This window comes from Homo sapiens, chromosome 15 (genome assembly GCF_000001405.40).
Source record: "Homo sapiens chromosome 15, GRCh38.p14 Primary Assembly".
Taxonomy (NCBI): Eukaryota; Metazoa; Chordata; class Mammalia; order Primates; family Hominidae; genus Homo; species Homo sapiens.
In genome coordinates, this window is record NC_000015.10 from 51,182,608 (window position 1) to 51,206,414 (window position 23,807).

At 44.7% G+C, this 23,807-nt stretch overlaps 1 long non-coding RNA gene across 1 annotated transcript in view; it reads left to right on the plus strand.

Moving 5' to 3' along the window:
• Window positions 1–23,807, plus strand: part of MIR4713HG (MIR4713 host gene) — a 256,425-nt gene that overhangs the window by 145,120 nt on the left and 87,498 nt on the right. The gene's annotated exons all lie outside the window — the stretch shown is intronic.

The following is a 23,807-nucleotide window of genomic DNA, read 5'->3' on the forward strand; positions in this document are numbered from 1 at the left end:
CAGATGAATCTGCTGTTTCTTTAAGGAGCTTTCCCAAATGCCTCATTCAGTAGCTTATGCCTATATATTATTGGCCAGAATTTAGTTCTGTGGCCATCCTTATCTATAGGGTAGGCTGCAGAATATAGTTTTTCTTCTGGTCACATTGAAACCCTGAGTACCAGGCTTTTGTTGGTGAGGAAGAAAGGGAAAATGGATTTGGGGAAGGCTCCCATTCTGCTCCCACCCCTTATCTAGGTCTTAAGACATCATGAGTCCCCTCCCACTGACATCCCTCCCACCCTTACGGTCCCTGCTACAGACTTGGAGCCCAAAAATGCTCACTCAGCTCCCTACGTTCATTCAGCTGGCTATGGTTTGGTTGTGACCTGGCAAGGAGGTTGTCTTCTAGAATCATCTATGGTTAGGCTTCTAAGCTGTAAAACCTGGGGGTTAGAAGTTACATCATTTAATCCTCATGACATCTCCATAATGTAGGTAGTATTATCCTCATTCTCCAAATTAGGAAAGAGATCCACAACTGGTAAGTGTGAACCAGGGCTTGAACCCGGTCCTGTCTGGCTCCAGAATAAGTGCTGTTTCCACGACATTACTTCCCATGGACTGGGAGGGCTATTTCAGGCGAGGTAATGGCAGTAATAAAAGGACCTTAACAAGCTGTTGATAAAGGGTGTGGTTTGCTTGTTCAGAGTGGAGTTCATCAGTTAAGTAGACTTTTACGATAGTCTATTTTTCCAGGATGTAATATATTTATACTAGGCTTTTGCACAGATTCCCCTTGCTCCTTCTTTAAGGGAAATCCATTGGTTTGCTCTGATTATGTTGCAGGCCCATAAAACAAGGTAGATTCACGTGATAGACTGAGATCAAACCCTGATGGCACAGTCATGATCAGTGTGGCGAGTGGATTCCAGAGGTAGCCTTGTTGTTGTCGGGGCTTCAGGGCAGAAGGCAGTACTATATTATTTATCATTCAGTCATCCATCAAAATGTGGGATTTGCTCTGTGTGTTGTGTGCATGGAGGACGGAGCAAAAGAAGAGAAGTTGTACTTCTGGAATAAATACATGAAAAATTAATGGTTTTTTATAATTTAACCAATATAAATTAGTTGATATGTGGATTGGAAATGGTTCCTGGCCTCAAGGAGCTCATGGTGGCATATCTTCCACCCTCTGGGTGCTCACTGGTGGTCCAGGCTCCTCTCGGTGCTTCTCAGCTCCAGGGAGGTGTATATCAGCATATCCTTGGAGGGGAGCTCTTCCATACTGTCCCCCCGCAACATCTTTATCTATTTTCACTCTTTCCTCAAAGAAGCCACCCACTCTGGAGTTTGCTTACAAAGTGTTGCTTCCCAGCTGTGCATGGTCATCCTGTTGTCTGAAAAGTGTGGAGGGGAAAGGGCATGGTATTATTGAATAACATTCAGATCGATGCTTTAGAAACATGAATTCCAATGGAGGACGCTCTAGGACCCGTCCCCGGGGGCACTTACATTGCTCTTTCAGAAGCTTCCTTAGCCTCTGAGTTTCGGCCCCGACGTTGGCACATCCAGCTGTGTGCATACCTCGCTGCCCAGCTCCTGCACCTCCTCCCAGCTAAGTCGGGAAGGCCCAGCCTGGTGAGGACACTCGGTATGAAACAGAGATGGCTTTGCTGTGGTCTTAACCTCCTTTCTCCTCGGATAGCCTCGACTTATGTAAAATCTCTTTCTCATGACTTTGTGGTCAATAAACCTGCACGTGCCAGGTCTGCTCCAAGGCTCGCAGAGTTTTTCCTCTGGCTCCTGCATCCGTGTCATGCTGAGTGGGCTACTCCCCTGGAAAGTCCTCCTGATGGCAGCCGGGCCTTCTGGTAACTTTCCCCATGCTCTCTGGCTGTCCTCACCATCCACTCCATGGCCTGCACACGACTCTTTTCCTTAATATCATCAGTTCTCTAATGTGAAATCTCAATTGGGTTCTCTAACAGTCATCCCGGGTTCTCAGACCCGCAGTTGGAATCATGTTAACAGCTCCTAAAACTTACAACTGTGGAAACAGCTTTTATTAGTCCATACTTGCTTACAGTGTTATAAACCACAGTCGAATGCCCACAGTGGTAATAAGAGTTGCCGTTTATAGAGAGCTGATGATGTGTCCGGCACTAGCATTTTATATGCTTTTAAACTTCAAGATAACCCTGTGAAGTAGGAGCTACTATTTACAGTTGGAGAGACTGAAGGTCAGGGAGGTTAAGTACACTCCTGAGTGTCACACAGTTAAGTGTCTGTCTGAGTGTGGGGCTCAATACTCCCTGACTGCTGCCAGGGCAGCCATGCTGCATAATATCCCCCTGCTGCAGCAGCTGCGACCTGTTGCCGTCTTCTGAGCACGCCACACCCAGAATGGCTGTGGGTGGAGGGTGGGGGTCCAGCTAAGATCAGTCCAGGTAAAATTAATGTTAAGACTCCTCCTCACAGGACCCAGAACACCAGTCCTGACTTGAGCATCTTTTCACACTGCCATCTTTTTTCTCCCATGTTGGCTATTGGGAGAAGGAATGGCAGGGAGGAAGTCATGGCCAGGAGTTACTTGTGACTGAAAGTTGGCATATTGCTGAAGGTTTTCAACCCTTGGTATAGGCAAAATCATGGTGTGTTTGATGGTGGAGTCGGGGAGAGGGGAAAGCAGTTTGGTTTTCTTGATTTCCTCAAGGGGAGGAGGTGATGTTTGTCTCAGCCTCAGAAACAGCCGCTATCTTTCTTGTTTTCATATCAGCCTGGCTGTGCAGCCAGTCAGTGGCTAAGGGTGTTGCTAAGGCTCTTGAGAACATAAGAAAGAACGTTATCTGTCCAAATAAGATATGGGCCAACTGTAAGGCATTATTGCAAGAGAAACTTGCCTGTGCTTTATAATTCAACATATATGGTAATTCTAGTAGCTGTTGTTCTGTCCTAGGAGGAAGAGGAAGGTTTGTCAAACTTTCTCAAGAAGTGAATTGCAGCACAGAATTCTGTTGACCTGTGTTCAGTTCCCTCTTGAAAATTCTAGGCTGTCAAAAGCAGACAGCTTTTCCAACACAGCTGCATTATCCACGACAGCAAGACAACAATAACTCCCGCTGCCCTGGCTATATTGCTTGGGGAGTTTGTGGGTGTGTGTGTTTCTTATTCTATTTTTCCATCTGGTGACTTTTGTTTTCTTATAAACGGTGCTGTTTAAATGCTTTCCACAAATGCAATCTTGAAAATAAACACATTGAGTGAACAAGAACAAAAGAAGATCCATTCTCGATGCTGATCACTGCTGAGAGGTTTCCTCAGCTGCAGGGAGATAGGAGATGAGCGGATGAGCAGATCATCAGTGTGAAATGCTGCTCACGGGTGCTGTTGGGATTGGATCCAATCGGAATGGCATTAATGGTGCCCTGGCCCCTGTACATACAGAAGGCTCAACAACTAGATACCCGTGAGCTACCAGCGGGCCTTGAAAATTTAGGAAGCTCATCTCCCAGTTGGCAAGTCAAAAAAAGCCCTGGTTTCATGACTTCTGGAGCTTCCTAGTAAAAGAACCCTGTGGCTCGATTGTCACTTCATCCTGCAGAGATTATCGTCAATCTTTTCCCATCTTCTTCAACCAACCACCTCCTTTTGATCACTGCCTTAGTTTGGGCCCCCCCGGAAGTAGATGCTGAGACAGATTTGAGCATAGGCAATTTATCTGGGAGGGGCAGAGAATGTCAGTAGGGGAGGGGGAAATGGGGAAGTGATTCAGGAAGGAAGGCAGCCAACAAAGGATGCAGTTCCACCAGCTCTCATAGCAGGCAGATGGAGCTTAGTCCTGTGGGGAAGCTCTGGAAACCAATATCAAACACACACCTCAGAATATTACCACCCGAGGGAGAGGACGGGGGTGTTTATACAGCAGCTTCCAGGTGCATTGGTAGAAGTCTGCTCCCTAGGGGTGTTAATTCTCCCCCACTTCTGGCTTTCGTTGCATGTGAGTTGAGGGGTTTTCCACAGTTTTGGAAAAAGTCCCAGGCACAGGCATAGAGACACACAGTTTGAAGTTGGCTGAAGTCCACTGAAAGGTCTGAGGGATGTGTCTGGGACACTAACAGCCTCTTTTTTCACCATACGCACGGCTTCAGGTGAGCAACTCCCTGGGAGTTAGAGTGATGGGGCCATGTCTGAACGGTTTTCTCCTCCTAGTATTTTCCATTTTTTTGTTTCACCACCATCAAGTTACCACACATCAGAACTACTCCCCACACACCCCCACCTCCATTCCCTGGGTGTGAGTTCTTGAGAACTGCAAAGAATTGATTCCTTGCCTTTATGGGGGAAGATGCCGAGAATCATGTCTTGACAGCTCATGCATGAACCACCATAGGGACCCCTGATCCCAGCTGCCCCAGGAAGCAGCAGCTGTCTGCTGGCAGCAGGACATCAGTTGTTGTGGGTGGTGATGCTCCAACCCTGGCTTCCTTCTCCGGAGTATGCAGCCACAGAGACGTGGCAGATCAAGAGTGCTGTATCAGTTATGCTGCCTTTAGCGGCAATAACAGAAAACCCCAACTTGAACTGGTTTAAGCAATACAGAAAATGTATTTGATTTCACCAAACAGGAAATTTGAGGTAGAGTGCCCCAGGTTAATTCAGGGCCCCTAGTACTTTCCACCTCCTCATCTTGCTATCTGCAGCATGGCAACTTTGTTTTCTGGTATCTCCATTGTTTGCCAGGTGGCTGCTGCAGGGTCAGGTCTCATGCACATAACACAGGCCTTCCAGACCCAGCTACTGTGGCGTGGAGGAAGCCCACACCACCCTATACAAGGAGACCATAGGGAGAGGCCAAGTGTAGATGTTCTGCCCAGTAGCTAGCTGAGATCCCAGCCGACAGCCAGAACGTGAGCAAGGACAGCTCCAGGTGATGCCAGCCCCTGTCATCCGTCAGTCACCCTCAGCCATTGAGCTTTCCCAGTGGAGGGTCCAGACATAATGGGGCAGAGACAAGCCACCCCCATGGTACCCTCTCAGAGTTACTGACCCACAGAATCCGAGAGCTTAAGAACATAGTGCTTTATGTCGTAAAGTTTTAGGGTGTTTTTAAAGCAACAATAGAAACTGGAACATTGCTCCTGGTGGCATTTGCTTTGTTTCTGAGGAAAATCTGAGGGGAAGTTAAGGGGCTTTCGATGTTCATTACCTGCCACTGTTCATGTCTTAGAGAGGGGCCCAGAATCACTGGTGGATAGAGAAAAAGCTGGCCCGGTGCCCGGACACGTGGTAGGGGCCAGAAAGGCTTCTTTTTCATGGGTAATGTGTTCCATTATCCTGGAGACACCAGGAGAGGGCTTTCCAAGAAAGGTTATTGGGATCAGGCCACATGTTGGAATACCCCTCAAAGGATAGTCTCAAAGGTTTCTGAAGACTCCCAAATCCCAGAATCTCATTACTTCTCCCGAAGCCCTTGCCATTCTGTTCCAACTACCACCGTCTCCTGTCTGAGCTACTGTAAGTGGCTGCTGAGTGATTTCCTGCGTCACCCCTGCCCCACTAGACTTCATTGTCCATGAAGTGACCAGAATAGTTCTTTTACCTAAGCCAGCCCGTGTATTTGGTCTGCTCAGGACCACCTTCGAGTCACTCAGCATAGAAGGCCCCTCTGGGTCTGCACCTCCTGCCTCTCTCCAACACGTCTCTAACATGCGTGCCCTCATCCACTTTGGTCCAGCCACAATGGCTTCCTGTTGCTCCTCAAACATGACAAGTGTCCTCTCACCTTAGGGCCTTTGCACCGCTGTTCCCGCCATCCAGAATGTTCTTCTCCCAAAGAGCTGCATGGCTTATTCCCTCACCTCCTTCAGGTTTTACACAAATGCCCCTAAATGAGGCCTTCCCTGACCACCCTAAGTACACTTGCACACTCTACCCCCACCCCTGGCTCTCTGTATCCTTTCTCTCTCTAATTTTCTCTACCAATCTTATCCCTAGCTAACATACTATATGTTTTACTTATTTATGATGTTTAGTATCTAAATGCTCCACTGAAATTATAGCCCTATGGAAGCAGGGATTTTTGCCTGTTTTATTCAGCCTAGAACAGTGCCTGACACATAATAGGCCCTCCATTAATATATGCTAAATGAATAACATGTCTGACCTCTCCTTATCATCAGTCCTACATTTCAACTTCTGGCTGGACAGTGCTGCCCGAGGTCCTGCCAGCATGTCAGATCCACCCTCACATCCTAGCATCTAGGATCAGGCCTCTCAGCCTCCTCCACACACAGTGGGGCTGATTGGCTTAGCCTGGGTTTAAATCCAGCTCCTTGTCACTTCCCAACTAGAAAGACGCAGTAACATGCACCCCCTCATGTGGTTGCCTTTAGCATGTGATAAATGAGGAATGAAACGACAGGACACGCTGCTCCCTGGGCATCCTGCCTGGCAGAGAACAAATGCTTAATAAATGCCAGCCATTACGACTGCCATCACTAGCTACTTCTTCTCTTAAAAGAAATTCCTGTGCAGGCATGGTGGCTCACACCTGTAATCTCAGCACTTTGGGAGGCCAAGGTGGGCGGATTGCTTTAGCCCAGGAGTTCACAACCAGCCTGGTCAACATAGAGAAACCCTGCCTCTACAAAAAATACAAAATTAGCTGGGCCTGCTGGTCCCAGCTACTGAGGAGGCTGAGGTGGGAGAATTGCTTGAGCCCAGGAGGTGGAGGTTGCAGTGAGCCAACATCATGCCACTGTATTCCAGCCTGGGTGACAGAGAGAGACCCTGTCTCAAAAAAAAAAAAAAAAAAAAAAAGAAAGAAAGAAAGAAAGAAAGAAAGAAAGAAAGAAAGAGATTCCTTATGCATCTTTGTTCCTGTGGTTAAGAATTGTAAAATACTTACTTTTTGCTTTGGTAAATTAATGATAACTTGACTTATTTTTAGTTTCGTTCTATACTTCACCTTGGGAGGGTTACAATGTGTTTTTTAGGTCATGGGAAAATAATAATGATGAATAGTGCTCTGTTGATCAAAAAACCCAAGAGCCACAAGCACTTACTCAATGCATCCTCCACCAGAAGCTGCAGTCTCTCGTGGACAATAACAATGAAAATAGCTGCCATTTATCACATGTTCAGGGCAGAGGTGGTACCAAGAGCCTCACGTATATCACCTTACTTAATTTTCACACTGCCCTTTCCCAACCCAGGAAATAGGTACTGTGGTATCACTGACATTTTAAAGAGGAAGAAATGAAACTTGGGGAATTTGTTAATTTGCCCAGACCACAGAACTAGAAAAGGGACCTAGTTCCCTTTCCTAGGAGAACCTCTATTAATATATGCTAAATGAATAACATATTTGACCTCTCCTTAGCATCAGCCCTACATTTCAACTTCTGGCTGGACAGTGCTGCCTGGAGGTCCTGCCAGCACGTCAGATCCACCCTCACATCCTAGCATCTAGGATCAGGCCTCTCAGCCTGCTCCACACACAGTGGGGCTGATTGGCTTAGCCTGGGTTTAAATCCCAGCTCCTTGTCACTTCCCAGCTAGAAAGAGGCAGTAACATGCACCCCCTCATACGGTTGCCTTTAGCATGTGATAAATGAGGAATGAAATGACAGGACATGCTGCTCCCTGGGCATCCTGCCTGGCAAAGAACAAATGCTTAATAAATGCCAGCCATTACGACTGCCATCACTAGCTACTTCTTCTCTTAAAAGAAATTCCTGTACAGGCGTGATGGGACAGGGAAAGAAGAACCTAAACCTCAGTCCTTCAGGATCCTGTGTTTGCGCCTCCCCAGTTAGCCACATTGTTTTCTTTTTTTGCACCACCAAATTCCAGCAATCCAGTTTGGTCCCTCAGCCCCTGGGCAGCCCATGATGGGGCCCGCAGCTCTGGCCTTGCCACAATCCTTCCCTGCTCACTGTTTATTGCCTTTGGGCCAGGCAGAGTTCCTTCCAAAATCCACTCTGCCTTCCGCTGTCCATGCCAACCCTGGCCAGGAAGCGGAGGACAAGGCCAACCTGGGCCCTGGCCTCACGCCTGCCCTATGAGGTCCACTGGGCCTCCTGCCAGCAGATCATGGTACAGTGAAGAGGGGGCCTTCCTCAGGAAACCCAGGGGCCACGCATCTGAACCTGACCTCTTCCCATGTGATAGAGGATAGTCTTTTTAAATAAGTAAAATCATGGTTCTCATGGAAATGTACAATGAACACATATCAAAGATTTTATTTAACTCCCTAGTTGAACGAGGGAACTGGTAAGATGTTACAACTGGTTCAAAGAAGTCAAAACAACTGCAAGTTTATATGGCGTAAAGAAATGTTGAAACAATTTTATGTATATATTTGAAACTTGCTTTATTATTGGGAGGGGGCACAGAAACCAAAACGTTCTGCTGTGAGATTCAGCCACATTGTTGTATGTAGTTGAAGTTTGTCATTCTCATTGCTGTCTCAAAATACAATGTATTCACCCATTCTGCAATTGGCAGACATTGGGGGCAGTTTCCAATGTATGGTTCCAGCACATACCTTTTGGCCAACAGAGGTGCACATTTTTATGGGGTCTTCTTAGTCTTTAAAAGAAAAGTGGTCAGTTGTTTGGCCAAGACATTTTCTTGACCCAGGCTTAACAGATGAATCAGCCTGTTATCTCCTTTGCCATAATCAGCAATTTTTCTTTTGTACTTTCTCTTCCTTGAAGTGCACCATTCCATCTGCAGGATTCTTCAACATTGCTGAGCAAGGCCAGTGGCTGTCCTGTTATATTTTTAACATATGCAGGTGACTTATTTACATCCTGGCTACAGACTGGCTCAGGGGTGAGGGGACGAAAGCAGCTGCCCGAGCTGGCCGGTGAACCTGGACACTCAGCTGTCCAGCCAGCTGACGCTGTGACTTTCTCCCTTCAGACACTCAGTTGTGTTTTTCCACTCCGGAAACAGTGATTTCTACCCCCTGCCCTTCTCTGTCTCTTGATGGGAAATCTATCGCTAGTTGGCCTCGCTGTCCCTTGCTCTGCTCCTGAAATGGATACTAAAAGCAACTTATTTCTGAACCTGTGCTTTTCAGCTCACACTTCCACATCGTCCCTTTCTTTTGTCCCTTTCTTTTCTTCTCTGCCCGCATGATGGGCTGGCCCTTGGCAAGGTCTTTACTTTCACTGTGTTTTCTTTCTTTCCCCAGAGTCTCCGATCCTGTCTTTCTCAGAGGTGTTTTCATTGTTGCTGTTTCTCCTCCGTCTCTCATCCCCTCAGGCCTCGTTAGTCACTTCCTTACCTGTAAATATTTTTTTTTTTTTTTTTTTTTTTTTTTTGCCGGTGGTTGGGGGGGAGGTGGGGGAGGGGGGTTAGTGGACTTCCTTTCCCCAAAGTGCTCCGCTCTGACTCCCATCAGTAAGGCAGCAAGCCCAGACCCGTTAGTGGCCTTCCTTTCCCCAAAGTGCTCCGCTCTGACTCCCATCAGTAAGGCAGCAAGCCCAGACCCCGGCATGGAGCAGGTCAGGCAAGAGATGTATGCAGTGACTTAATAAATAAAATAGAATGGAATACGAGAACCAACAGAAAAGAAGCATGTAGAGCCGCTGGTCCTGAGGATCAAAAGAGCAGCAAAGATAGGCCTTCAGCTTTGGTGCTGAGCTTCCTCATAACAGGGGCAATCAAAGAAATAAGAGATTACAGTGTTGATAATAGATAAATGATAGAAAATAATTGTAACATTTTTGAAGGAGCGTCTTATTAATTTTTCTGTCTTCTAAACGCTTGTTTGGGTCAGGGCCTTAAGCATAGTAGATGCTCAATAAATACTTGTTTAAAGGATGAGTTAAAAGTAAAATCACGTATTATTGCTGGCTAATATGTATTGAGTACTTACTACATAGCAGGAAATTTCTAATTTGTTTCACCCAACAACCCCAGTAGGTGGGCACTATGGTTCTCCGCTTTTTCAAATGTGGAAACCACAGAGTAACTTCCCCAAGGTCACAGCTCTTCAGCGACCAGGTTATGATGTAAACTCAAGTGCCCGGATTGGAGCCAGCCACTAGGGAATCTGAAATGATGGAGCAAATGAGCATTTAGGGGTATTTTCATTTTACCAGACAGTAATACCAACCTGACTGGCTTTTTACTGCTGGCCCCTGGCAGGCAGCCCAGTTCAGTGAGCAGCCCTGCTAGAAACCAAGGCAGGCAGGCTCCCCTCTACCGGGAGCTGCCCGGCTTCAAAGCCGGTAAACCTTTTCCCTATCTGCCCCCTGCTGGCGGATGTGAGCATAGCAGGGCTCTCTCCCGACTCCTTGCAAGAGCACCCTGGAAAAGAGAGCGAGGCTGAGTGAAACCCCGGCTGCTGCTTGGGCTTCCGTAATTGTAGGGGAGTGGTGAATTGCCATAACCCCAAACTGGGACCTGGGCTCTGACATATAGGAATGTCTTAGGATGGGCTGGTTAAAATTGGTTGCTCTCCTGGCAAAGCTAGTTTGTGTAGTCACTGGATGTGGGGTGGAAACAGTGGGGCTTGGGGGAGGACGGTGGGGAATTAGAGATCATCTTTAAAAGCATTGGAACACCATTCAGGGGGCTCTGGGTTCTTGTCCAAGGGTCACCTACTCCAGCGGCAGGTATCCTGTCTGAAGCTGTGTCCTAATTTGTAAAAGGAGGCATTAGACTACATGACGTCTAATGGTCCTTCGATCTGAAATCTCTACCTGTAAGCTCTTTAAAGATTCCTCTAAGCAGGTCTCCTCGCTGGATCTCACATTCTCTCCCCAAAGGTCTTCCCCAGTGCCCATACCACATCTCCAGCCCTGCTCACCTGCATCCCCCTGTGGCCAGACAACTTGCTAACTCCAGCTGCCCACCCTGACCCCCAACCTGAGCCAGCTTTGTATGAGGTCCCCAGGCCCTGTTCACTAAGAATGGGAATCTTATGGTTCAGAAAGAAACTAGCCTGTGCTTCTTGGTCTTGAGGCCAGTTTGCCTCTCACTTCCTGACAAGTCCAAACCCAGGACAGCTGAGACAGCGAGAGCTATCAAGAAATGAGGGGAAGGGAGCTGCCGGCACTTTCTGTTGAGCAAATGGCTGAAGTTCCCAGAAAAGCTGGAGCGGAGGAACTCTGGGGAGGCACATAAAGTTGTTGTGGTCCAGGAATGGATGCCTGAGGAGCCCAGAAATTCCCAAGGGAAATGTTGTAGGGGTCGGAGTTCCTGTGCCAGCAGGGGTGGGAGGTACAGCCAGCCGTACGTGACTATTGCTATTAATGTGACCTCATGTTCAACCCTGGTGTTTTCTAAAGAAACAAGACTTTCCAGAGAATTTTTGTATTTATTTTGGGGCACCCATATATACACATATATTCAGCCTCAGCAGAGCCTAAGGCAGGGTTCCTGGGGTGAAGGACAAATTATTTTTCTTAGTTTTCAACCCATAGGGACTGACACTTTAAAAAATGCGATAAAAATAAATTATTAGAAAATGAAATGAAGACCACCAAAACTAGTCTCTACTCTTCCTTCCCTTCCCTTTTTCTTTCTTTCTTTCTCCTTCTTTCTTTCTTTCTTTCTCTTTCTTTCCTTCTTTCTTTTCTCTCTGTTTTTCTCTTTCTTTCCCTTTCTCTCTCTCTTTCTTTCTTTCTCTTTCTTTCTTTCTTTCTTTCTCTCTCTCTCTCTCTCTCTCTTTTCTTTTCTTTTTTCTTTCTTTTCGACAGAGTCTTGTTCTGTCACCCAGGCTAGAGTGCAGTGGTGTGATCTCAGCTCACTACAACCTTCACCTCCCAGGTGCAAGCGATTCTCCTGCCTCAGCCTCCCAAGTAACTGGGATTACAGGCATATGCCACCAGTCCAGCTAATTTTGGTACTTTTAGTAGGGTTGGGGCTTCACCATGTTGGCTAGGATGGTCTCAAACTCCTGACCTCAAGTGATCCACCCCTGGCTTGGCCTCCCAAAGTGCTGGGATTAGAGGTGTGAGCCACCATGCCCAGCCTCTACTCTTTTTCATGAGGCAAATCCTCTGGTGATGTGCTTAATGATGTGGCTGTTGTCAAATTGCTGTAAATTTTCTAGACACCGATTTTGTATCTATGTTTATCTCACCAGGAACCCTCAAACAGTTTGCAGACTAGCCCCAGCCTATGGGTACACTTTGAGAAGACCTGGTCTAAGCCACTCTTACTTCTGTATTCTCTGGAGATGAAGGACATCAGTGGGGATAACAATTTTTAACAAATAGACAGTTTCCACAAAGAGGAGAGGAGTATTCATAGCACTTTATTTGTCAACTTTACAAATTACACAGTCACATTAAAGGTACATTTTGTGTGCAGATGACCATGGCATTCTGAGGAATAATTGAGTTTCTCGGCATCACTAGGACTATTGTTTTCCTACTTTAAACTTGGACATGCTTCATGCTTAGGATACCAGACAGTAAAAAGTACGGGAACACTAGCACATTACAAAATTTTTATAAAACTGTACTTTACTCACCCTAAAAGCCCACATCCATGTTACTTTATTGAGAAAAACATGTCCAGAAATGGCCACAAACAGGGGCTGTCTCTTATGGGACAGTAGTCAACTCATCACCTATCTTTCCTATTTTCCACTTATTTTCAGCTTTGAATTTTAATAACTGCATTTCATCCGTTTCTGTTTTGATTTCAGCTACAAAGTGAATTACATTTTTTAAATTAGAAAATAAGGATTTCACATTATATTTAATGTTTTAGGTACATTAGCAATCTGGCTTCAAAATGATCCTCTTGTTTGGAAACACCCTGAAAATATGAAGGAAAAGACAGTCCTAACCCCCTGAATGAAGTGTGATTTTAATGGAATAATATTGGTTTTCAGTAGACATACCAGAACTTCTACGTTAAATTTAGGGATCATACTGTTATTCTAATGATGCTGCCACTGCTTGGAAGAATTTTGGAATGGCTTTTTTTTTTTTTTTTTTTTTGGAATTGCCTTCAGTGGACAATTTTGAAGAGAGATGAATAAGAAATAGTGTTGGGCTGTGCACGGCAGAGGCCACTGGCCTAAAAGGCTCCATGTGAGCCAATGATTTCCTAACTTCCTGTGTTCACAGTGTGCTTCATGCTACTACTGCCTTTATTAAAGTAATCAAGGACCCCAAACACGGCTAAAGACAGTGAAAGTTATGATGAAATTAAAGTGTAGTCACAGTGTAGTTACAACTACATGATGAGGTTGTCTCAGAGGGTTTCCAAAGGCACACATAGTTGTGACTCTATTCATTTAGTCACCTGGGTCACAATTTGAAAAGAGTCCTTGCTGTCCTGATCAGGCTCGCTTTTTTTTTTTTTAATCAAAGACGAAGTTCCTGCATGTCCCCTGGGTGTCCTTGGCATAGCTGCCCTGTGTTCCTGCCCCTTCCTCTTAGGAGTCACAACCCCTAAACACTATACCACATCACACCTCGCACTTAGCTCAACTCCGAAATCATATGTAATAAAATTCATTTCACACGTGGGTCACATGTGGATCAAGTGTGATTGCACCACGGCGAGGGATTTGCGGTACCAGTAGCTGCAGCATAGGAACTGAGCAGCACTAGTCCCAGGTAGCTGGAGACACAGCCTTAGATAGGAGTCTTCCTCAGCATAGCGAACAGGGACACACGTTTCTTTATTGTAAAGCACCAAAATTATAGATACCAGCCAAGCATTAGAGGATTAACTACAACAGAGATATCATCCAGGTACCATGTCCAGCACCCTGGGAAGACAATAATCAACCCTCCTGAAAGAATGTGAGGCCGGGTAGCTGGTGGGAACCTTTGATACACATTAATAAACTTTATCATTACAGTGATATGTAATGATCATATTACATTAATGATTACATTTAATCATTTGAGACTTACGGAAAGAATTGTAGTGGAATCTTTTAGATATGTGTAAACTAACAACATAATTTTAGGATTATACTATGTCAATTCAGGTGTAGGTAAGACAGCCAGTGAAAAATTATGTGAAGCAAATAATTGGAAAACTTTATATATATGTTTCAAAATCTAGCTGAGACCTCCAAGGATAACTGGGCTCCTAAATAATGCCATTTTGCCTTTGATGTTGGGGCAGCCCTGTGGTTTAGGATCTGGCTTCCATGGGTTTGTCTGTGTCGTGCAGACGATCCAGTGGTCTAGAAGTTCTGGCCAACATGCCAAGTCTCTGGCACACATGCTTCAGAGGGTCCTGGTGTGAATCTACTTTAGTTTCTTGTCCCTCCTCTGTCCCATCATGTAACCCACTTTCTTCCTCTCACCTGCTTTCCCTATGTGACATGCCCTCCAGTTTCTTCAGCCCACATCCTCCAGCTTCATCCAGCCATTTTCCCCACCATGGTCATTCCGCATCTGCTGCCCTGTCTAAACCATGGGAAGAGACAAATCTGGAGGAGAGGTAAGGGATGATGGAGGCACAGATCACAGATCTAGGAACTGGGGGTAGAGAGGGGAGAGCCAGTGGCAGAGGGGCCAGAGACAGGAACGGGCAAGAGTGTGAGCTGGGCACTTGAAACAGGGCTTCCTCTCACTTTATAATCTTCCCTGTGCTTCCCAGGGTCTATGCATTTGCACCTGCACCTGCATTTGTGGCCAGGTTCAGGGCACCTTTCCTAATCCATCCCTCAATCACAGCAAAACACCCTCAACTGTTGGCTCCACTTTGTCTCTATAAATGGTACCTCAGTAATATGAACTGAAACAAGTTATTTAAGACCATGGGTTAACAAATAAAGGGTTTTAGCCAGATGATAACAAAATTACTTTGCAGACATATTGCATTTTCCAAGAAACCACACAATATATGTACACCACTCATAAAGAATTTCTTACTTAAAATAAATGTAAATGAACTTGGCTTCTGGGACAACAAACTATTTAGAGCTGTGGTTAATCCCCAGCATTTAAAGGATGTGGGGTAAAAGATGGAGTCCTGACAGTGGCTGTGGGAAGTAGCTTTTCAAGCCCAAGTTGAGGCTACAGGATCAGTTGTTTGGACAAGAGAGACAGAAGCCAGGCTGTGTAGCCAGGTCTGAGGAGTCCAGCTAAGGAAGGCAAGGGTTTGGCTATAACAGGGACATCTCACCAGCTTCTTGCCTAGTCTGGCTGCTGGGCATAGCTACCACTATCTAGATCAGCCTGGGCAACAGGAGACACTGTCTGTACAATTTTTTTTTAAATTAGCTGGACATGGTGACTCGTACCTGTATTTCTAGCTACTTGGGAGGCTGAGGTGGGAGAATAGCTTGAGCCCAGGAGTTTGTGGCTGCAGTGAACTATGACTGCACCACTGCAGTCCAGACTGGGTGTCAGAGCGAGCCCTCGTCTCTTAAAAAAAGAAAAAAGTCAATTTTCAACCACCTCACACCCATCAGGCTGGCTACTATTTAAGAAAACAAAAACAAACAGAAAATTGCACTGTTGGTGGGAATATAAATTGGTATAGCCATTATGGAAAACAGTATGGTAGTTCCTCAAAAAAAAATGAAAAAGAGAATTAGTGTATGATCTGGCAATTCCACTTCTGGCTATATATCTAAAATAACTGAAAGCAGGGACTTGAAGAGATGTTTGTACATGAAAGTTTGTAGCAGCATTATTCACAATAGCCCAAGTGCATATAGACAGATCAATGGATAATAAAATGTAGTATATGTATACAATGAAACATTATTCAGCCTTAAAAAGAAAGGCTATTTGGACACATGTCACAACATGGATGAAACTTGAGGACATTGTGCTAAGTGAAATAAGCCAATAAGGACAAATCCTATGTGATTATACTTACGTGAGGTATCTGGAGTCATGAAATTCATAGAGACAGAAAATAGAATGGTGGTTGTCAGGGGTTTGGGAGGAAGGAAAAATGAAAATGTTTGCTGGGTACAGAATTTTAGTTTTGCAAGATGAAAAAGTTCTGCTGTGAGTGGTATACAACAAGGTGAATGTACAAGTACCACTGAGCTGTATAAAAAATGGTTAAGATGGTACATTTTATGTTATGTATATTTTGTCACAATTAAAAAGTTTTTAGAAAGGGAAAAAAAAAGAGGGTTACGTCTTCCCATCTGTGCATCTCACGACTGTGTTATTACTGAGAGCTCGATGCCAGTCCCTTAGAAACACAAGGATGACTTGAAAACTTATGTACCAATTCATTTCCTCCAATTTCCCCCCTAATGAATAGAACCATAGTTCATCAGGAAAAAAAAAAGTAACTTTAATATAGGCCAACTAGACCAAGGCTGGCCCACGTCCAGACCTCAGAGGAGGGAAGTGCTGAAAAAATCAGCTTCATTCATCAATGGGCAAGGCATCTTTTGCCATTTCTGCCTTGCCTTGCACAGGCAGGCTGAGATACGGTCTTGCTTTATGGTTCAGGAGAGAGGGCCAGAACCAGGCTGGCAGGGCCCTCTGCTGGGAGGCGGCCTCCAGGGCTGAACTGAGATTTAAACCCCATCCCTGGGGTGGTGGCACCACTGCAGAGGCAGCAAACAGCCCTACAGCTGGCAGCCAGTAGCCTGAGCTTCCTGGCAGGGAAAGCTAGACTTTACTGAGCACAGCCTGGACTGAGAATAGGGAGGCCGAGCTTCCAGTCCTCATATTGCCCTAAATAGCTGTGTGGCCATACACAAAACGTTCTTAACTTCTAATACCTCAGGGTTTGTAGATGGTGGATTGTGCCCACTCTAGCCAGAAATTTCCATTAAGCTATGAACGTAGTAAAATCATATAAAGAATTTCCCCGAGACCCTGAGATATGATTAATTTCCAAGAAGAAAAGGTGCCGTTCTTTCATCCTAAAGAAACTTAGTCATTTTTATTTCCAGAATCTGTATGAGGGTCTTTGAAGCTCTGACTCATTTGAGACATTCAGATGTGAAGTCTGGTCTGATGGTAATTTTAAGTGAGGAAGAAAGCTGGTTATAGAGCAAAAGTTTAAAGAGGAAAAGAATACTAAGTGCGGGCATCAGTTATGTCTGTCTTGTGTGATAGTAAAATGAACACAGGACTTCAAGTCAGAAAAGCTTTGTTCAAGTCTCTCTTATTGCCCCTCCCACACCCGCCCCAGCTGTCCTCTCATCCTCCAGGAGCCATTCTCCGTGCAGCAGCCAGAGGGATTATTTTAAAACATATTAGGTCATAACATCCTCCGGCTTAAACCCTCTAGTGAGTTCCGACTGCACTTAAATGGCACATACACCAGCGGTGTTCTGGTAAGTGTTTAACAACTGGCTCTCTTGGAGGAGAGATCTGGGAGAAGAACCTGGGTTTGTTGTATTTGCCAATTATCATGGTGTAAATACTCCCACTATGGCCAATTTCAAGCTATCAATTTGACATTAATCAGCTCTTAAAACCCTGAAAACTTAACAAGTGGCTCTCATGAGCTAGAATGAGCCAGATCCAGCAACTCTTTCTATTTAAAATCCAGCTTCCTTCTGAGACCCTCACGGCCCAGTGTGGTTGTCCATCTTGCCAGCTTCACCTTGTTTCATGTTCCCTCTGATCATGACACTGCAGCCACTCTGCCTGTGTCAAATATTCCGTCTCAAATATACACCCTTAAATATTCCAAGCTTGATCTCACATGAGAGCCTTCTCACTTGCTGTTCCCTCCACCTGGAACTTTCTTCTCTAGATCTTGACTGGTTATTCTTTGTCAGTTTGATCTTAACTTCAATATGTCAGGGAGGCCTTACCTGAGCATCTAATTCCAAAATAGAGCCCCGTCCCCCATTACTATCTCATTACCCAGTTTATTTGCTTCATAGCCCTTGCCACTATCTGAAATGATGTGTTTCATTATTTGTTACCTTATTTGTTAGTTCTGTTTTGACATATAGAGTGCAAAGTTATAGGCACTAAGAACAAGGTCCAGCACATAGTATGTGGCAATAAATGTTTGTTGAAGAAATAAATGATTAATAGGTCAAAAATAAATTATTTCTGCTATAAGATGGAGTTATTTAAGCAGTAGAAAATTCCCAAATTCATTCTGACAACTTATAAAACTGGTTTCAAAGTTTTTTTTTTTTTTCAGTTGACATAGTTTTCTTTTGATGTGGAGAAAAGTATACATGCACTTTTAAAGACCAGATCAGGAACAGTCTTCTCTTCAAAATGAATGATTTGAAAGACCTCTAGGCCAGGGAGAAGGAGGAGGAGGAAGAAAACAAAAATATGTAATTGGCGTATTCATTTTCCTAAGAGCCACGTGAAGAGAAGAGGACCAAAGGAAGAGCAAAGAAAGGAAACAGACATTCTCTGAACATCGTTGCTGCCCCTTACATGCTGGGTTCTAATACTCAAGATCTGCCTAATGGAAGAATCCTGTGGGGCATGTGTTTCACAGATGAGTAAAACTAGGCTGTAGGAGGTTAAGCAACTTGCCCCAGGACACACAGCTGGTAAACAGTAGAATTTAATTCTAAGTAGACCAAGTTCAAACTTTTCCTGATTATGTATCTCCTATATAATAGGAGGTAGGGTGGCAGGAGGGTCTCCTCCAGAGGAAATTCTATGAACAAAGAAACCACATGAGTAATGATGTCAGATACCTAACAGAAGATTTTAATTATGGTAATATCCATTCTTAATTCACTGGGATGAAAGAAGAGACACATTTTCATAGTTTGAATCCTTATGAGTAAAGAGTTTGATGGGAACTTCAGAAGAGTGGAAAAAGCACTTTTTTTTTTTTGAGACAGAGTCTCACCCAGGCTGGAGTGCGGTGGTGCAATCGCAGCTCACTGCAACCTCTGCCTCCCAGGTTCAAGCAATTCTCCTGCCTCAGCCTCCCGTGTAGCTGGGATTACAGGCACCTGCCACCACATCCGGCTAATTTTTGTATTTTTAGTAGAGATGGGGTTTCACCGTGTTGGCCAGGCTGGTCTTGAACTGCTGACCTCAGGTGATCTGCCCGCTTCGGCCTCCCAAAGTGCTGGGATTATAGGCGCGAGCCACCATGCCCGGCTGGAAAAAGCACTTTTAGTTGATCACTGTATCAAAAAAAAAAAAAAAAAAAAAACCAGGATTACAGTGATAATTTTCTAGTGATTTATTTGAGCAGGATAAAATCCTGTTTGGTAGCTTCCATATTTGTCACAGCTGTTGTGGCTTGATGGACTTAACAGTCTTGGGACACATGGCTACTTGGGTTGGGGTGTAGGTTGGGGACATTTATGCAATAGAACAGTGTGCAAGGGAAGACGTTAATTGTCTTCCAAGTGCTTCCACTTAGGGGCATAGAGGAGTTATAATCTGTGCAGGGCTGCAGAAGACCTGCCCCAATAAGGCTGAAGACTCCACGAAGATAGGGTGCAGAATGTGATCAAGAGGGGTCTTGGGTATAAAGCATGAAGATAAAAAAACCTTCTAGACTAGATCAGCGCTTCTCAGCCTTTAACATGCAACCAGAGCGCATGAGGATCTTGTTGCAGTGCAGATTTGGACTCAGCAGGTCCAGGTGGGGCCTGGGCATTCCTATTACAACAAACTCCCAGGCGGTGCTGCTGCGACTGCTCTGGGGATCACACAGCTACACATTTTGGCTCACCTTGCTACTCAAAATGTGGGCCACCTACCTCAGCATCAGTGTGACCTGGGAGCTTGTTAGAAATGCAGAACCTCAGGCGCTACTCACACCCAGAGTCAGAACTTGAATTGTATCAAAATCACTAGGTGATTCACACATTAATGCTTAGACATTACTGCTCTAAAAATTGAGAAGTGCCAGTCTATTCTGGGGGTGCAGTGGGTCAAATGGGGGCCCCCAAAAGATAAGTTTACATCCAAATCCTTGAACCCATGAATCTGACCTGATTTGGACAAAAGGATCTTTGCAGATGTAGATTAAAAGCCTTGAGATAAAATCAACCTAGAATACTTGGGTGAGCCCTATATCAAATGCTGTGTCCTTAGAAGAGAAGGTGGAGGGAAATTTGAGACAGAAGAGGGAAAGATACAGACAGAAGAGGAGGAGGCAATGTGACCACAGAGGCAGAGATTAGAGTGATGCAGCCACAAGCCAAGGAAGCCAAAGATGGCCTACAGCCACCAGAAGCTCAAAGAGGCAAGGAAGGATTCTCCCACCAAATTCCTCTCCAAGGGAGCGTGGCCATGCCGACACCTTGATTTCAGGCTTCTGGCTTTCAGAATTATAAGAGAATACATTTCTGCTGTTTGAAGCCACCCAGTTTGTGGTAATTTGTTGCAGCAGTTTTAGGAAACAAATATAAGGAGGAAGGACTATATCTCATCCACACAAGACTTTGTCGTGATAAAAGGAGGGTGGCTGCCTCCGCTTCACCAGCTCAGAATAAAAGGGTGACCTCAGCCTGAGCAATTCAGGATGGTGAGTGCAGATGGTAAGAGAAAGGGGAAGTGGATAACAGGAGGCTCAGGAGGGAATGAGGGAAATATGCAAGATGGATCCGCAGAGGTAGAAGAAAGAGAAGGACAAAAAGCAAACACACCCCAGGTTTGCTGGGGTGGCATTCAACAACAGGGGCAAGATGGCAAGCTTGGGGCTGGGAGACAGGCTGGGGTTTCCCCAGAGCACAGTCCTCAGAGCTGGTCCTGAGACAGGCTGAGGGGAACTGCAGAAGGAAAGAACTACTAAGAGGATTCATTATGCAAGGAGCCGCAAAAGACCTGCGAGAAGTAGAAATACAGGCTGTTGAGAGAGGTTAGAATGAGACTCAAGAAGGAGAACCAGGAACAATTGCATTAAAATAGGATGAAATGTGCTTTTTTGATTCATTTGGAAATGAGTTAGTCTTGTAAATAGGCATAGTGTTACTTATCCTGGCAACCAATGGGCATCAAATGTGATTATTAAACACAAAATACCATATATTTGTGATCCTTATGAGTATCAGCTGATTATTAAGCTAAGAGAGATTCTTCTGAAAGATGTCTCCTTTGAGACTATGTGTTCCCGAAAGCCAGCTTTTTGGCTTAACTTAGAAAATGTGTAAATCCTCACCAGTTGGTTGTAGAGAAGGGCACAAACCCATGGACTTGTGGAATCTTCAGTTGCAGGAGTCCTAAAGTTCATCTCCTCCAATTTCGCAATGAGCAGGAATATCTACCCCCAACTGCTAGTACCCCTGACCAAGATATATCTGGCTTCCCCCACCTGGCCATGTTTTTCTTGCTTAAGCGTGTAGATTGATCATTCACTGTCTTTCAGTGGCACTTAGTAGACTGCAAAGGCCGCATTTTAGAATGTGTACATGTGGTGCCTATTCTTAGGAATTTAATAGTACTAACTTCTCTTACTGGTTTAAAGATTCACTCTCTCATTCAACAGAAATGTACTGAGAGCATGCTGTGTGCCAGACATGGAGATGAGTAAAACGTGGATGACTAGAGAACACATATGGATCATTTTACTTTGGTTGCTTAATATAGCTGAATCAATAGAATTGGTTTGACTCACCCCTAGCTGTTGGTTGGAAAGACAGGGCAAAGTCTCAAGTCACTGTTCTTGGACTTATTCCCATGGTGGAGTGGCTGGTGTGAGTTATGATAGGAGCCAGAATTCCCTAGTTTCCTCAATACCTCAATTCCTCCAATATTAATACCTAAATTGTTGACCAATTAAACCCTACACACATTTATTGTTATACTATATTTGATTTCCAAAAGGACCAAAGCACACTTTTAGTGTAGCATACAGGAAAGATTATCATAGACTTTGGAATAAGCCAAGAAGTTAAAATTCCTAGCTGAGTGAGTGTAGGCAAGTTACTCTGGGAATCAGTTTTATCAGCTGCAAAATGGGAAATAATCCATACTTTGCATAATTGTTGTGAGGTTTAAATAAGATAACATGGTCTATGGTCTGACTGATTTATAATAATTCTTTCCCCTTCACACTTGCCCCAGGATCACACGCAAAGATGTGTCAACCATTCCTGCATCATCATGGGCAGGTATTTCTCTGAAGCAAGAGTTCATTTCTCCTTGCCTGTTTTTTGGTTGTTTTTGGAGCCACATGAGTAGTAAAAGCAGCTGCTGCATTATGAGAAGGTGTAAGCATGCCAGAGGCATTGGTGCCCAGAGAAAGTGGTCATTTCAGCAGGGAAGGGAGGTATTATTGAGCTCTTAGTGCTTCAGTTGGTTTGAGTATAAAACCAATGCCACTTAGAAAAAAATTATTTGCTTCAGCAAACCCGTTGGCTTGCTCAAAAGTTGCAATAGGAATAAAGTAATTATTTGTGAATGAAATGTGTTCCATCAACATCTCCATCCCCCTGCAGCAGCAAGTTAGGGATACATGCAGGCATACTAGTGTTTGGGGGCTTGCAGTCAGCCAGTTGGTGCACACTGGATGCCCAAATCATCCTTTCAATGGCCAAATTGCATGCTTGACCTGAGAGTGCCGTATACACTCAATTTGCTATTAGGGCTTAGATACAAAGTGGAAAAGATGCTATTATGTTTATGAAGCAAAATAGTAACTTAACATAATGAAGGCATTGGAAATGACTGTAGAGCTCCTCTGGTGTAATCCATATTTACAGAGATAGCTAGTGATATTCAAATTGGTGAAAGGGCATTGAAATCATCATGAGAATGTGCACAGCTATGAAGGGAAGTCAGCCAGGTGAAATCAAACAGCCCTGGACTTGGAGCTGGGATCCCCAGAGGAGTCCTGGATCTGTCGCTTAGTGAGTGGCTTTGGACAAACCACCTGGGCTCTCTGGGCTTTAGTTTTCACTTCAGTGAAATGGGACTTCTCTGCCTTTCTCACTAGGTGAAGACAGGGTGCAAGCAAAATGTTGGATATGAACAGGAATGATGTTAAAGACCTTAAACCATGGGCCCAATCCAGCTCACAGATGAGTTTGGTTTGGCTGGCACTGTGTTTGGTTTGGCTGGGACTGGCATTCAGGAACACGGAACCTGAATGCCTTTAGGTGAGGCATGTTCCTTGTCTCCCACAGGCTCTACTTATAGCTGGTCTGATTGTCCAATTTATGTTGCCTGCCTGGCTCCTATAGGCATTCTGATTTGGGAACCCTTGCAACCTAAACACCACATTATAGTGGACCAGCTTCATGTGTGGGTGAAGTAGGTAGTATCATTTTAGGGCTATCTGGAAAGTACCATCTCCTTTCCCTCCTCCTCTCCTCCCACAAGCCCAGCTTGCAGATGCCTATCAAGCTTTTGTGCAATTCCCTAGAAAACCAAAAGCTTCTACTGTAAGGGAGGATGACATTTTGAAACTTAGCTATGCTTTATAACTTAGGTAGACACATTTAGCAATTTATTTATTTATTTATTTATTTATTTATTTTTATTTTTATTTTTTGAGATAGGGTCTCGCTTTGTCACCCAGGCTGGAGTGCAGTGGTACTATCACAGCTCACTTTGATCTCGAACTTCTGAGCTCAACCAATCCTCCCACCTCAGCCTCTCAAGGAGTTTTTAAAAAATGTTTTGGGAGTAGTTTTTGATCATAGAACCTGAGACACTGGCCATATGTGTTAGGGTATATGTGGATAGGGAAGGGAAACTCTACCAAGCAGGTAGCAAAGGAATAAAAATGGATGGATTGGGGGGAATAATAACCACCTCACAGTATTGTTGAGAGAAGTAAATGACATGACTGTTAAAAGGGCTTAATGTAGTAAGAAAGTACCTACAGTTACTGTTTTCCTGGCCTGAAAGAATGAATGCACTTTCACAACCCTTAGTTCTTCATCTATCCAGGCTTAACTAGGCTAGAAGAGGAAGACTTTGTGCACATGGGTCTGGCTTTGCCTCCTCCACACC